This window comes from Homo sapiens, chromosome 6, assembly GCF_000001405.40.
Source record: "Homo sapiens chromosome 6, GRCh38.p14 Primary Assembly".
NCBI lineage: Eukaryota > Metazoa > Chordata > Mammalia > Primates > Hominidae > Homo > Homo sapiens.
This window is the reverse complement of record NC_000006.12, coordinates 68,310,776-68,328,568: the sequence shown is the minus strand read 5'-3', so window position 1 is coordinate 68,328,568 and position 17,793 is coordinate 68,310,776. Positions and strand designations below refer to the sequence as shown.

The window sequence follows — 17,793 nt, the reverse complement described above, 5'->3', positions numbered from 1 at the left end:
TAATGAGATTGACATCCTATAAGAAGAGATCAGAGAGCTTGCTCTCTCTAGTTCCCTCTTTCTCAGCACCCTCACAAAGAAGTCATGTGAACATAGTAAGATGGTGGCCATATGCATGCCAGGAAAAGAGCCTTTACCAGAAAGCAACCATAATGGCACAATAATCTCACGCTCCCAGCCTCTGAAACTCTTAGAAAATAAATTCCTGGTATAAGCCACAAAATCTATGGTATTTTGCAATGGCAGACTAAAACAAAAACTTTTTCATAATTAAGAAGCCTTCTTTTATTAAAGAATCATGTTGCAAATATTCTGTACTCCCAGTGATGAATATGTATTACATTTCCTGTGAATAATGATGTGGGAATTTTGGTAATCGAAAAATTATATAGTGCATATTTTTATATATGAAACTCTAGGAGACTAAATGCATAGAATCTTCGTGTATGTATTTTCTTCTAAATGTATAACAGCTGGAAAATGATTAAATAAATAATAGTTCATTGATACACTAAAAAATATTTCATTAATTGGCATAAAAATATTTGTATGTCTATTAATTACCTAGGAAATTCTTACCATGTAATATTCACTGAGAAAATAAACTACTTGTCATTTGCTATTATTCATGTCAAGAATATAGTATGGACTGCTATTTTGTGTGTATATGGAGATTGTAGATATAGAGATTCTGTTTTATTTAATGGGTGAGTCACATTTCATTTTATCCAGCTACTCCTGTTTTGATGGATATTCAGTCTATTTCCAAATGGCCCACTATAATAATGCTTATACAATAATCCTTGTGTAGGTGGCATTACATACTTATATAATTACTTATATATTTTATTTTATGTGTTCATTTTTGTATTTATTTATTTATTTTAGATACAATTCTTGAAGTGGAAGTGTAGGTAAAAATAGGTACATTTTAATTTCCTACAGTGATTTGTAATTCAGATATTCAAAAGTCATTTTTTCTTTGCAATCATAGTTGTTTTAATTTTATCATAGTCTAAAAAATTTTTCTTTTACATATGATGTAGGAAACATGGGGTTTTCAATAAAATTGTGAAAGATAATGTTACAGTATTTTTTTTATAAAATTTGAACATCATGCAATACATTTAAACGTACTGAAAACTTTTTTGAGACTAGATTTTCTTTTCAGTTGTAAAGTAATGGCAAATAATTTGTTTTAAATATGGAAAATGTAAAGAAATAAATTCAGGCATACTTTCATTACCTAGAGAAACCACTCACATTTTAATATATTTTCTCCCTGAAAAAAGCCTATATCTGCATACGTGTATGTATAGATATAGCTGTTTATCAATTCTATGCATTATTTACATGACTGTGTTGTTTCTTTAACTATAAATATTTGCATTTTCTATGTCATCATAAATTCTTCAACAACATGTTTAACAGTCTCTTGGGTATGCCAGTTTGCTTATCCACTCTTGTTTGTTTGTTTGTTTTGTCTTTTGAGAAAGGGTCTCCCTCTGTTGCTGCCCAGGCTCCAGGCTGAAGTGCAGAGGCATGATCTTGGCTCACTGCCGCCTCCTCTTCCCAGGCTCAAGCGATCCTCCCACATTTGCCTCCTGAGTAGCTGAGACTACAGGCAAGTGCCATCATGCCCCACTAATTTTTGTACTTTTTGTAGAGATGAGGTTTTCCCACCCTGCCCAGGCTGGTCTTAAACTCCTGGGCTCAAGCGAGCTGCTTGCCTCGGCCTCCTTAAGTGCTGGGATTACAGGTGTGAGCCACTGTGCCCAGCCCTCTTCACAAAATTTCTAAGCAGCTTTCCAACTCGGTTGTTCTAGGTTAACTTCCCAATTGTAATCTCCAGGAATGAAAATTGCACTAAATCCTGTTCAAATACTTTTAAATAGATACAAGCCTTCATGTACTGTTGGGATGTCTTGGCTGACTCTCACAGGTATCTGTTCTCATCACACTCAATCTTTTTCAGGATCAGCTGTCATATTTGTCAATATCTTTTTTTCTTAAAGAAATTTATTTTCCTTATTTTCATCTTTTCTACCTGGCTGTTCATTCTAGATTATTTGCTGGCCCTCTTTGTCTGATTGACCTCCAAATATTGGAAGAGTTAAAGGTTCAGTTTTTGGCCTTTTTTGTTAAACTTCCAATAATTTCTCTTTAGGTCCAGTCCCATCTCTAGTGCTATAGTATTTCCTAAACTTTGGATTCTCATACAGAGCTTCCAGTAGACCTTTCCTGAGGATTACAAACTGAGCAGGTTCATACCATAACAATTAAGATTCAATCTTTCCCATTTTACCTAATGTCAACACTTCTGCGAAGTTTCCAATCTAAGACCTGGGTGTCATCCCTGATTTTCCACACACCAAGTCCATTGGCACAACTTGTTGGTTTACTTTTAATTTATATTCAAAATCTCATTACACTAAATCATTTTCACTTCCAACATTCAAGTCCCAGTTAACTTCAATATCCTTCTATGAACTGAAATAATGTATTCCCCTACCCCAGCCTTTTTCTGAAAGAAATAATCTAAAGCAGTACTGAGAATATTTTGTTATATATTTTGCCATCTATGTAATAGAAAATACGCTGAATGTTAAGCAAAATGCATCTATCATTTTCTTGCTACCATGACATTGGTTGAGAATGTGATTATCTTATACTATCTTGGTGTGTCTCCAAATATTAAGCCACTGGGCTTACTATTAGGTGCTAGATAAATATGTATTTTGTGCTGGCACAGAGTAGGCACTAAATAACAATTGCTTTCAAATGGGTAATGAAAAGACATTTTTCCCCATTAATTGATTATTAGGAGCACAAGCATCATCTGAAATAATTATTTAAACACAAATAAATTTTCAAGTGATCTTGAAGAATATGGGGTTTTGTTTTCTTTTCCAGTAAAGTTGCACTTGTCAGCTCTGGGTTTCTGTTATTCTGAGATCTCTTATAATTTGCTGAGAGAACAAATGAACTGTAATAATTATAATGCATTTTTTATAATTGGTGTCACACTTTTGCCTGGTAAACAATTACAATATCAACAAAATACTGAATGAATGATTTTGCCCCTTTGCTTTTTAGAACTGTGAGGATAACCTCTATATTTTCAAATGCCAAATATATGTTTATGTCATATTTTGGTGTCATGTACCACTGTGTTGGATATTATTTTTAATGTGGCTCATTGAAATGTCACATGTTATTTGTTTTCCTTTTCATTATATACGGAAAAATAGTCACAAAGTGGAGTAAAGATTATCACTGATCACTGCCTTTACCAATTTTCTTAAAAATGGAAATATAAAGTAAACACAGAATTCTGGAAAATAAGATATATTTTGATTATTGATTTTAACTTTTTAAGCTTTCACTGAAGTATGATACATATATACATTCACATATGAGTTTAACATTCACAGTCAGTTTTTACAGAGTTTTATATAACTGTGCAAAAGGCATCAAGATCACAAAGTAGACTATTATCACCACATTATAAGATCTCACCTTCCCATGACTCTCCTAGTTATTAACCCCCTCCCACAGGTTAACCACTATTTTGACTTTAAGCAAAATAGATTCATCTTGTTTGTTTTAGAAATTTACATAAGTGAAATTATATATTATGTTCTCTTGTACATATATTTTTCCACTAAATATTATGTGAATGATATTCCTTATTGTTGCACAAACTTGAAGATTGTTGTCATTGCTATACAGTATTTCATTGTTTGTATATAGTGTAATTTATTTTTCCATTCTACTGTTGACATACACTGGAGAAATTTCTAGTTTTTGGCTATTATAAATAGTTCTACTGTGAACACATATGTACTTTAAGGTGTACATACTAGAATAAAATATTTTTGTCATAGCATATGCATATGTTTAACTTTAGTATACACATTCAAACACCTTGCATACAGGTTGCACCACATTGTTCACCTACAAGTAGGGTATGAGAGTTCTGGTTTCTCTCGATCTTTGCTAACATTTGCTATTACATTATTATTATTATTATTATTATTATTATTTACTCTTTAGCTATCCTGCAGAGTGTAGCAGAATGAAGATGCATTGTAATTCTAATTTGTATTTATCTGATGATTATTAAAGTAAATAAACCACTTTTTTACGTACTTACTGGCCATTTGGGTATTCTTTTTGTGAAGTGTCCATTCAAATTTCTATCCATGTTTTAGCTTTTACAAATCTATTTAACATACGAAAAGAACATTAGCTTTGATGTCCTTTTCATTTATTAAATAGATTTGTAAAAGCTCTTTAGCTTTTGTTGTTTTTTTATTGCAAATATTTTTCCCAACCTGTGAGTTTCATTTTTTTATCTCTATTGATGATATATTTTGATAGAATTTCTTAGTTGAAATAGAATAACTTCATAGATATTTTTTAGCATTATGGTTAGTGTGAACACTAATTTCCATAAGCTGCACCTTAAATATTTTGAAATCTTCTTTATGAAAGTAATAAGCATTTGGACATAAAGGTCTATTTTATACCCTGAATCTTCACGCCTGTAATCCCAGCTACTCAGGAGGCTGAGACAAGAGAATTGCTTGAACGCGGGAGGCGGAGGTTGCAGTGAGCTGAGATCGCAACACTGCACACCAGCCTAGGCGGAAGAGCAAGATTCTGTCAAAAAAAAAAAAAAAAAAAAAATAGATCGACCTTAGGCAAGATCAGTTCATTTCCCCTTGCCTCAATTTCCACACTGTCAGATAGGGAAAAAAGGAAATAATGACTTTATTGAATTAAATTATAGAATAAAATAAGATATCTTATAATGGTGAAATGTTATTATAAAAACCAAAGCACAATACAAATATAATGATAAAGAGAACTATGCGATTTTCCATCTTTGGCACAATAGCCTGTATACTCAAATTTATGCCATGGCCATTAATCAATGTTCAGGTTGCAATACCTCTAACATAAATAATTGGAATAAAATCCCATTAATTACCTTACCTTAGTTATTTTCTATATAATCCCAATAAATTTAAATTTTATAGTAGTCACACAGTTCTTGTTTGGAGCCCACCATTTAAAATCAAGTGTCCTATAGTACATCAGTTAATATATTACCTATACACTATAAAGCATGCAACCATGAAGTATTTTCATTTTAAGAAATTATTTTTCAAATATTTTAATATAACATACATAAGTCAATAAGATTTGCCTGTTTATCTGTGCATACAATTAACGTTTATTGAAAATCTAAGTTATTATCAGTCAGGATAAACTTGATTATACTTCATAAAAAATAATTCTAGCCTTTTTGTGGAACAAAACATCTAAGTTATTTTTGATCAATAAAACTAAGAGTTGTTTAATTAAAAAACAAAGAATAAACAAAACTCACCAATCATTAGCTAGAGTAAGAAAAAAAAAGAGAGAGGACTTAAAATCAGAAATGAAAGAGGAGACATTACAGTTATAGCACCGACATACAAAGGATCAGAAGAGACTACTATGTACAATTATATGCCAACAAATTAGACAACCTAGAAGAAATAGATAACTTCCTAGACACATACAACAAACAAGACCGAATCATGAAGAAATACCAAATCTGAACAGGCCAATGAAAAGTACGATTGAACCCGTTATGAAAAGTCTCTCATCAAAGAAAAGGCCAGGACCTCTTGGCTTCTCATGTTCTATCAAACATTTAAAAAAACAGAACCAATTATTTACAAACTCTTCTAAAAACATCAAAGAAAAACTGTTTTTTCCAAACTCTTTTTATGAGATCAGCACATGCTGATACTAAAGGAAAATAAGAATGCTATAAGAAAAAAAAATTACAGCCAATATTCTTGATGAACATAGATGCAAAATTCTCAACAGAATACCAGCAAACTAAATTAAAAAACAAAATAAAAGAATCACTGATTATGACCAAATGGAATTTACCCCTGGGCTGCAAGAAAGGTTCAATATACACATATCAATAAATGTGATACATCACATTAACAGAATAAAAGACAAAAATGATATGATCCCCTCATTACATGTAGAAAAAACATTTGACGATATTCTACATACTTTTAGGAAAAAAAATTCTCTACAAATTAGCTATAGAAGGAGTGTACCTCAACAAAATAAAGACTACAGATCATAAGCCCACAGCTAACATTATGCTCAATGATGTAAAATTGAGAGCCTTCCTCTGAAATCTGAAACAAAACAAGTATGCCCACTCTCAGTATTCCCATTCAACGCAGTATTACAAGCCCTTGACAGAGCAATTAGGCAAGAGAAGGAAATAAAATGCATCAAAATACCAAAGAAAAACATAAAATAGTTGTTGTTTTCTGACAACATGATCTTATACATAGAAAACTCTAAAGATCCCACCAAAAAACCATTAGAACTAACAAATAATATGGTAATGTTACAGCCTTGACTTTGAATTACCAAATATTGTCAACACACAAAACAAGTAGCATTTTTATACACTAACAACTAAATTTTTAAAAAAGAGAACAATCCCATTTATAATGATTATAAAAATGGAACACTTAGGGATAAATATAACCAGGGTGAGTGAAAGACTTGTACAATGAAAACTATAAAACATTAATGAAAGAAATTGAAGAAGATATAAATAAATGCAAAGACATCATATGTTCATGAATAGAAAGAATAAATATTGTTAAAATGCCCATATTACCCGAAGTGAACTACAGATTCAGTGCGACTCTTACCAAAAGTCCCATGACTTTTTTTTATATAAAAATAGAAAAGGCAATTCTAAAATTCCTATGGAATCACATAAACCTCCAGAAAGGACAGTTTCCTCAATAAATAGTGTTGGGAAAACTGGATATTCATATTCAGAAAAATGAAATTGGACTCTTATCTCACACCAAATACAAAAATCAAGTCAAATTGGATTAAGGACTTAAACGTAAGGCATGAAATTATAAAATGACTAGAAAAAAATATAAAGGAAACACTACAAAACATTTGTCTGGGGAATTAATTTTTAGATTTGACCCCTAAAGTGCATACAACAAAATCAAAGATAGACAAATGGTATTTCATCAAAATAAAAAGATTTTGAACAACAGAGATGACAATTAACGGAGTGAAGAGGCAACATTTAGGCTGGCAGAAGCTATCTGCAAGCCATATATCTGACAAGGGGTACATATCCAAACTATGGTAGTAACTCAAATGAGCCTATATAAAGAAAACAAATAATAAAACACCGCATGTTCTCACTCATAGGTGGGAATTGAACAATGAGAACACATGGACACAGGAAGGGGAACATCACACACCGGGGACTGTTGTGGGGTGGGGGGAGGGGGGAGGGATAGCATTAGGTGATATACCTAATGCTAAATGACGAGTTAATGGGTGCAGCACACCAACATGGCACATGTATACACATGTAACAAACTTTCACGTTGCGCTCATGTACCCTAAAACTTAAAGTATAATAATAATAATAATAATAAAAGAAAACAGGCAAGAGACCTGAATAAACATTTCTCAAAAGAAGACATACATATAGTCAACATACATATGAAATAATGCTCAACATCACTAATCATTAAGGAAATACAAACTAAAACTACAATGAGACGTCACTGGAAATCTCCCAGAAGGGCTATTATCAAAAAAAATGAAAGCTAACAAATGCTAGTAAGCCATTATGAAAACTGTATGGAAGTTCCTCAAAAAATTACAAATAAAATGACTATATTATCCTGCTATCCCACTTCTGGATACTTACCACCACAAAATTGAAATCAGTATGTCAAAAAGATGTCTGCATTCCTATGTTCATTGCAGCACTATTCATAAAAGGCAAATTATGGAATCAGAATCCACCTAACAGTTTATCAACAGATGAATGGATAAAGTGGTACATATACACAATGGAATACTATTTAGCCTTTATAAAAATAAATAAAAAATTAATTCTGTAATTTTTATGTCAATTTATTCTGTAAAAAGTATTTTATGTCAATATATTTTATAAAAATTAATTCTGTCAATTGCAACAACTTGAATGGAATTGGAGGATGTTAATCTTAGTGAATTAAGTTTGGCACAACAGGAAAAATTCTCACATATGTGGAATTAAAAATAATCAAATTTATAGAAGCAGAGAGTAGGGTGATGATTACGAGAGGCTAGGGAGTGAGGGGAATAGGAAGATGATGGCCAAGGGGTACAAAGTTTTTGTTAGAAGAGGTAACAGGTGTTTTTTTGTGATTTATTTCCACAATGTGGTGAATACAGTTAATAATAGCATTTTGTACATTTAAAAATCACGAAGAGTAAATTTCAAATGTTCTCACCATAAAAATAATAAGCATTTGAGATGATATATAATTAGCTTAATTATTCCACATTATATTCATAAATCATAATGTAAGTTTTTACTCAATAAATCTATACAACCATAATTTGTCAATTATCAAAAAAATTAAAAAGGAAATTTATTAACAAAAAAGTTATTTTTAATTCATGCTATGTATTCATCTCAACTGAGTTGTAGTCTCTAACTCATGTTTTCCTGAATCTAGGCTACAAGATAAACTGCCACCTAGAGCATTGCTAGTTGCTGTGGAAAGATAATAGTGTTCTGAAGAGTCTCTTTTCAGAAAAGGTCTGTCAAAGAAGTGATGTAGGATTTTTTTGTTCACAAGTCATTGATCATTACTAGTAACATGGCCCCACACAACCCAAAAAGCCCAAAGAGGGTAGGGAAGTGTAGTCTTATCACAGGACTGAAAGGTGAAGAGCTGGGATATCTGATTTAAAAAAGCAATTGTGATTATTGCTATTCTGTATAAACAATATAAGTTTCTAAGGCATACAAAAATAAAATAGACATGACTTGTGTCTATACAGTGACAAACATAAAAATACACTCCTCTGAGATGCATGCAATAAGAGTTGAGTGACTACACAAAGAAAGCGTAAAAACCTCTGCTTCGATGAGCCTGGAAAAGTTTCAGAAAGAGAGAACTATTAGATCTGGGTCTTGAAGCATAAATAAGAGTTCAACAAGAAAAATAAAATGGGGATGGATAATTGTTAAAAAACAAGGCTTCTGCACAGAAAACAGAACTAATCAACAGAGTAAATACACAACCTACAGAACGGAAGAAAATCCTCACTAACTACATATCTGACCAAGGAATAATATACGAAATCTACATGGAACTCAAGCATATCAGCAAGAATGAAAAACACATAACCCCATTAAAAAGTGAGCAAACGACATGAATAGACATTTCTCAAAGGGAGATAAATAAATGGCCCACAAACATAAAAAAATGCTCAACATTACTAATCAGGAAAACGCAAATCAAAGTCACAATGAAGGCTAGGTGTGGTGGCTCATGACTGTAATCTCAGTACTTTGGAAGGCCATAGTGGGAGAACCACTTGAAGTCAGAAGTTTGAGACCAGCCTGGGAAACACAGAAAGACCTTGTCTCTACAAAAAAATAAACAATAAAAAAATCAGTGGGTGTAGTGGCATGTGCCGGAAATCCCAGCTATTCAGGAGGCTAAAGCGGGAGTATCACTTGAACCCAGGAGTTTGAAGCCATGTTTTTGCCACTTAACTCCAGCCTGTGCAACAGAGAAGACTTTGTCTAAAAAAAAAAACTCCAAACAAACAAACAACAAAAACAAACAAATAAAAAACCACTAAACTGAAAACTAAAACTAAAGATAAAACCACAATGACATACCACCTGACCCCAGTCAGAATGGCCAGTTTTAAAAAGTCAGGAAACAGTAGATATTGGTTATTGGTGCGAATGTGGTGAAAATGAAACACTTATACATGCTGGTGGAAATGTAAATGAGCACAACATCTACGGAAAATAGTATGGAAATTTCTCAAGTAACAAAGAGTAGATCAACGTTCGATTGAGCTATTCGATTATTGGGTATCTACCCAAAGGAAAAGAAGTAATTATGTCAAACAGACACTTTTACTCATTTGTTTATCACAGCACAATTCACAATTGCAAAGACATGGAATCAAATTTTCTATCAACAGATAAGTGGATAAAGAAAATGTAGTATATACACACCCCAGAATACTACTACACCATAAAAAAATGAAATAATGTCTTTTGCAGCAACTTGGATGGAACTGGAAGCCGTTGTCCTAAGTGAAGTAACTCAGAAATGAAAAACCAAATACCACATGTTCTCACTTATAAGCGAGAGCTAAGCTTTGGGTACACATAGGCATGCAGAGTGGTATAATGAACACTGGAGACTCAGAAGTGTGCAGTGTGGGAGGAAGGCAAGGGATAAAAAAAATCACCTATCAGATGCAATGTAATGTAAAGTATTCTTATACACTAAATATTTTTAATGCTGTGCTTCTGTGACCAAATAGCACTGATCTATATATTCAATATATATATATATCGAGAATAGATCAGTGGCATTTGGACACAGGGACAAAGCATTAGGGTTGTGAGGAGCAGCAGGAGGGAGTTTATAAAAAGCCATGAGAAAACTTTTCAGTGATTATCTTGAATGTGGTAATGATTTCAGAAGTGTATACATATCAAATTTATCAAATTATATTCATTAAAGATGCAATATTTAGTGTATATCAACTATAATTAAATAAAGTTTAAAATACTGAAGCAGTATACACATTAGGAGAGAAGCTAATTTCAAGGATAAGATTTGATTTTACTTCTAAGATTCTCTTGAAATTGTGTAAATGATGTATAGGGGAAAATGGAGGAGCATAGTTTAGAGAGGAAAGAGAGTTTATTAAATATACTGAGCTAGAGTTAGAGGTTATATGGAACATGCAGGAAGAGATGACTTGTAGGAAGTTTTACAGTATATTTGTAATGCAGAAGAATATTGTAGTATAAAATGTATTTGGAGGCCAATACAGTAGCCAGCAGAGAACACCATAGTATTTATGAAGCCATAGTATTTGTGAGAGTTACGTGATTCAACATGAATCAGGGGAAGGATGGATCTCTGAGAAAATTCCTATGGAAAGGAGGATTACAAAAGAGGATTAGTCAGGAAGATATGAGACCATTAAAGAGGAAAAAGACGAACAGATTAAAGTTACACCAAGTCCAAAGGTAAAACATGCAACATACTCTCAGGAGATTAAACAAAGTTGAAGGTACATATGAAAGGATGACAAAAAGGAAAAACGACAACATTTCTCTGAGAATCCAGTAAGTTATGTATACACACAGACAATTTTTAGACTTAGGGATGTTAAATTCAAGAAATTCACACGTGATAATCTAAATTTACTCAGTGTAATTTTAGAAAGCAAGATGAAAAGCAAGAAGGAAGGATGTTTGTCCACACATGACTAGTATAATAAATATAACAAATAACAAATAGTACATAGTTGTACAAGAGACATTCAAGTCATTTAATCAAAAAATTATGAATGCCTCAGGGCCTTGCCTATCTTATTATAATACTAAAATAATGAAAATATTTCCCATCATTTCTCTTGAACTGTTGTGACACATTCCATTTGTCAATTAGAAAATATACAATAATGAAATTATTCGTGAAGTAGTTAACCCACAAAGAGTTTTTTTCTGGCCCCCTGGTTCATATTTCTTGACAAAATTTGGATAGAGATCAGGGTTGAAAAAATGTAGAATGTTAGGAAAAATTCATGCTGTAGAGAAATGTAAGGTGGTTGTATTAGAACGTGGCTCATTACTGTCATAGGGAAATATAATTATTTTTGCCAATCTGAGATATAGGTAAGTCACTTAAATTTCAGGGGTGAGGGACTTGCCATGTTGTTCATTAAAATAAATCAAGTCTCCCATTTTAATTGAAAACTGCAGTTTAGCTGATAAAATAATAGATGACTTGGTAAGTATAATCAATTTTAATTAAGAATATTTCATACAATTAATCTTTGATTCAGTTTTTCTTTGTTTTACATTGTTGTTGTTGTTGTTTTTTAATAGGGATGGCTGGTTACCTGCATTTACTAAATAATAGGAATAGCTAATAACTATTCTCAATCATTTTTTCAAGTCATGGAATGTTATAATTAAGAATTTATGGAATAGAAAACCCAACTGATCCAGGTATCAGTGTTTCTCTTACACAATTCTCTTCTTGCATATGCCATTGATAGCAGACAATTGCGTCTTTTTTACTGTTTGATATAAAGTAATATTGATTTGTTTCTTTACTTCATTATTCTAATGCTAGCCTCTGGCTATTGATTTGTGTCAGCAAAGTCTTGAGATGTAGAAAGAAAAAACAAATCAGCTAGCTGACTACAAATAAATGTCCAGCTAAGGTCTACGGATTGGAAAAATACAAAAAACAAATAACAAAATAACTCATATTTGAACACTTAAGCTTTGCCTAGTACTATGCTAAGCACTTTCTACTTAATAATTAAGACATTGTATAAACCAGGTTTTATGAACATCTGTAATTTTCAGATTATTGAGAATCAGAGTAGCTAACTGAGGCACAATGACACACTTAAAAAGTAGTAAAAGTAAGATATGTATATATGTATATATTCTTAAAAACAACATAGTATCTCTATTACTTTATGAAATTTGAATTGAAAAATATTATCCTTACATATAAGGTCCAGCCTGCACACATGCAATTAGGTTGTGGTTATTTCCATCCCCAAAAGATTTTTGTCATAAAAAAGAATTCTCTGATAATGATCATTTTCTCTTTCACAAGATATGATAACAGCTAGTGATAAAAAGCTTGTTTAAAATAGTCGTTATTTTAAACTTCTAGAGCTGAACAGACTTGGAATCCTGCTCTCAGTAGGATTTTATCTCATGAGCCGTATGTAACTTAACCCCTCTGAATTTTATTTTTCAACTGGAAAATGAAGTAATAATAATACCTATCTCATTTTCAATGAGAAAAGCATGGGAAATGGTTGATAAAGTGACTGGCATATACTACACCTGAAATAATGTAATTAAACTCTTTATTACCACCACCACCATCATTATTATTGTCATCATCATCATTTAGATCTGTGTAAACCAATCTTTTCAGAAAGATAGCTGTTATGTACATTCAGTACACCAATGCAAGCTAATAATAGAGTTATCATTTGCAAACTAGCTTAAATGCACAGGGTGGCACAGAGATTTTTTCTTGCTCTAAATAAATATAAAAATGCAAGGGGCATATTTACTATAGTTATTCAAATTTTAAGTATAACTTCAAGCTGAATGTGATGACATATGCCTGTAATCCCACCTATTTGGGAGACTGAGGCAGGAGGATCACTTGAGCCCAGGAGTTTGAGGCACTTGAGGCCAGGTATTTGAGTCCATCCTGGGTAATATAATGAGACTCCATCTCTACACACACACATTCAAACTACATTTTATGTGTGTGTGTGTGTATATATGTATATATGTCACACATATAGTATATAGATATATCTATATATACCATATGTATAAGTATGCACATATACATATACATAAATATATATGTGTGAGACAGACAATGAAGCTCACAAATTGCTAATAAACTTCTGAAGAGATTCTTATTTCATATATACTACATATATACATATATTTATATAGAACTATATTTTATACACATATATGTTGTATATATACAAAATGTACATATACATATATAAAACAATATTTTATATATTTAGTATATGTATGAAATATAGCTTTGTACATATGTATACACATACGCATTCAAGGCAACATTTTTAGTGGTTCAGAAAACATAAAGCATAATTAAAAGTTATAAATAATATTAAAAATATTAATAATTGAGAACTCCCAGCTTGATGGAGATAGGTTATTCCACCATTCATTTCTATTTCTATGGAGATATTATGTAATTAATATATCAACCACAGTGCAGATGGCTTATGGAAAACCTTTCTGAGAACACCTTGATTTTACTGATTCAATCTTTTTCAACATTATCTCAACCAATCAAGGAGATTGATAATAAGACACAAAAATCACTCTAAAGTCAGTCTAATTTGGTCAATAGGCTGTAAGTAAAAAACAAACAAAGAATATTTCTTTTATTCCCTCAAGAAATAGAAACTTCTTCAGAAGAGTTTATTATTGATTGGTAAATTTCATTATCCCTCTTACGTTTAAATTATGCTTAAAAAATGAATAACTATGGTGATTTTGTCCTTTCCATTTTTACATTTCCATATGTAGTTGTATACCTATATACACACATATATGTGTATGTTATACACACAGACACAGACACATACACACATACATATAGATATATCTCTGGATATATCTATATATCTACACACCATATCAGGAAATATAATTAGATTACAACTTTTAATGTTTTGTATTAGAATGTGACCTCATGCCATGCATTTGATTGGATGACTTCAAGCCATGCATTTCATAAACTAAGCACATGAGGGCACATGGCACTAAGCAATGGAATCCTTTCGTAGCAAGTTTTTTGACCAGAAAGAGATCATGAGCTCAAAGGTAAAAATGAAATAAAATATTGGAAATTGAGACTTTTCCTTCAAATATCAAATTGCAGTCCAAATAAATACAATCTGTTCTGTTGATTAAAACTTATTGCTATTTAGCATCACTTGTGTTGGATAGAAGGAAAACATTTTCAGAGCTTTCATCTATATTTATATTTATCTGCTTTTCAGACTGGTACAACTTAGACTAGACAGAAATCCTATGACTTTCTGACATTTTGCTTAATTGAGGTCAGAAGAAAACAACAGCATTCAATTGCTGGGTTTACAGAAAAGGTAGAAGAATTGAATAACATTTTAATGATTTAAATTAAATTCTACCATTTTAAGATGTCTAGTGTCAAATTTTGGATACAGTAAAAGTTCAATAAATATTTGTTAAATCAAAAACAATTAAATTACATTAACTTAAAGTATTATTTGGCAATTATTTTTTCAAAATTTCAAGATATGACATTCACCTTCTAAAAATAAAAATGAAGGGAGTTATTCAAGTTATGAGATGTAAATTTTTGTTAACGTTTGAAAATTGCCTGTAGTTTTCACATTAAAAATATTTTAGAGTGTGAAAAAAGTGAAAATATATACACATACAAAACTAAGTCCCTGTGCATTATGTTTAATAATACATAGGTATATAAAGTAGTTATAAATAGCTTAATTATGAACTGGACATTTGAAATGTTGCTTTCCCCAAGGGCACAAATATGGATTAATTTGCTTAGAGACAGTTTTATATACATTTTCAAAAGTGTTTAAGCTGTTTTGTTCTGAAACCATAGCTAAAAACAAATAAGACTGCCTTTCATCAGGTGATCTTCAATATCTAATTCTTTCACATTTGTGAAAGAAAATTAGAATAAGAGACTTGGAGAGAGCACTGGCCCCTCATCCCCAACTGAATTCCATTATTCCCACAGAGAAATTCTAGGATGTTTCCTTAAGTTTTATCAGTTCCTGTTTTCAATGGTTTTGTGCTGATGGAGAAAAAGTATGAATAGTTACAGTTTAGTTCAAGAATGACCAATGTATTCTCTTGCATTTTCTAACTTTGGTCTTGTGTAGTAATTGAATTTCCACTCTATTCAAAACAAATTTAAGACTCTATTGTGGCTCAGTTTGACTAATTTTGATGGATCAGTGATGAATGTTATGGGCAACTGTGGGAAGAGGTAGTACCAAAATATGCAACAGGCTATCTTTGATCTCTTTTGTGTAGACTGCTCAGAGCTTCTAGGTATACTTTTCTCAAATATAATGATCCCTAAATTAAGAGAAACGGTATGGAAACAACCATCTGTCTCTACTACTATTGATATATCTTGAATACTCAGTATGGTGCACAGATAATGCTTAAGAAACCCAGTAATTACGTTTTAACTCAACTTCTTACTAGATACACATCCTAGGCTGATTGATATTATTAAATCCTCATAATCAATATAGTAGCAAGTAACTATGATTATGAAATTATTTAAATAATCCATACATTAAACATTTATTATTTCAATATTTGTATATAATAAAATCTAAATAAATATTAGTTATCATCATTTTCATTATACTGATTGTACTACTGACCATTTGCTTATATGTGTAGAAAATAACTACCCTCATCAGTCTCTTGGAAAATAAATATGTCAATCATATACACATATATAAATTTTTTTGTTAATGAACAAATGAGTCCAAATATATATACATTTTCTCATGAGTTTAAAAAATATTATTTAGATATTATTTAAATATTATTTAAGTATTATAATGACAATATCTGTAAAGGATGCCATTAAGACTTCTAAATTTCAATTTTTTAAAGATTTTTTGATTCTATATTAAATTTATTGTTTAAAAATGGGAATAAAATAATATTTTCATACATATTTTATGATTCAACAATACAGTACATAATGATAGGTGACCTAACAAGTACCTGAATATTGCCAATATTATTAAAAGTAGAATTTCAATAAGTTGCTATCATTTAAAATCTATTGAATACCTTTAGTTAGCAAGATTCTGTGACTAGAATAGGAGTTTATAAATAGTTGAATCATAGGAGTTTAGAATCATAGAGGTTTATAAATAATTGACTTTTAAAATTCCAAATACATTTTTAAGAAAGCCTGGATTCAGATATACAGTTATGCACTCAAGATCGTCCAGGATTTCTCAAAAAAAATTTTTTCTCTATTTCTCCGCTTTGGGAAAGTACTACTATTAAATTGAAAATTTGTAGAAAGCTAATTGGTATTAAAGCTTGATTCCTTGGGAAAGGCATGGTTAAAGAGGGTAAAATATAACTCTATATTCAAATGTAGGCATAGCTTGTTACTAGCCTATGATACCAGGCAAAACAATACTATTTTCTGCCCCAATTATCTTACATTTAATAGGATGTCATAGTATTTAATTTCCAGGTCTATTGTAGGAACTAAATAGAAGAGTGCATGCATATAGCCTAACATATTAATCTTTCATAACTCCTGAGATTACTTCATAATTCTTTTTGTATTTCTATAATTAAATTAGAATTTTTTTTTCTCATCATAAGGGGGAGGAGGTAAAGTAAGCTGTCTAATGACCAGTTTGATATATCCAAAATCTACTTTTTAAAAGGCACATTGGGTCATGCCAATCTCCTGCCAAAAGCCTTGCAAAGTCTTCTTAAAATCAATAAAATATTTTATTGTTGTTAACCTGGGTCAATATTATCTATCCTTTAACCATTTGTTCATAAATATTGCATATTTTGCACCCCCGTTTGGGTGGCTCCAATATTTTTCACCTCCCACCCTTGTATAGTCCCTTTTCTTACAGTGTTGACAGGATTGGTGACTTCCTTCTCACCAATAGAATATGACAAAGATGATGGAATATGAACCTTTCGATTCTGTTATGCTAATTAAAGCTTCATCTTGTTTTCTCACTTAAAGTATTTTTATTCTAGATGACTTTAAAGAAGCAAGCTTCAGTGAATCTTACATTTCCAAGAAAATAAATCCTGCAAAAAACCTGAGTGAGCTTAAAAGTGGACCCTTCCCCAATTCAGTCGACAGGAGATAACTCAGTCCTGGTCAAAAACTTTACTGCAGTCTCACAGAGGACCCAGATAAGCTCTTCCAGGACTTCTGACTCACAGAAACTATTAAACAATAACTGTATTTTTTTTAAATTCACTAAGTTTGTGGTAATTTGTTACATCACCTAAAGAATCAACACAACTTGTTTACTAGCAAGACTGCTTTTCTT

The 17,793-nt window shown here is 31.5% G+C and overlaps 1 long non-coding RNA gene across 1 annotated transcript in view; it reads left to right on the top strand.

The window, feature by feature from the left end:
• Nucleotides 1-17,793, top strand: part of LINC02549 (long intergenic non-protein coding RNA 2549) — a 102,930-nt gene that overhangs the window by 1,331 nt on the left and 83,806 nt on the right. The window contains exon 2 of the long non-coding RNA NR_125854.1: nucleotides 1,497-1,624. This is a non-coding gene — a long non-coding RNA (long intergenic non-protein coding RNA 2549). The remainder of the gene's footprint in view (nucleotides 1-1,496; nucleotides 1,625-17,793) is intronic.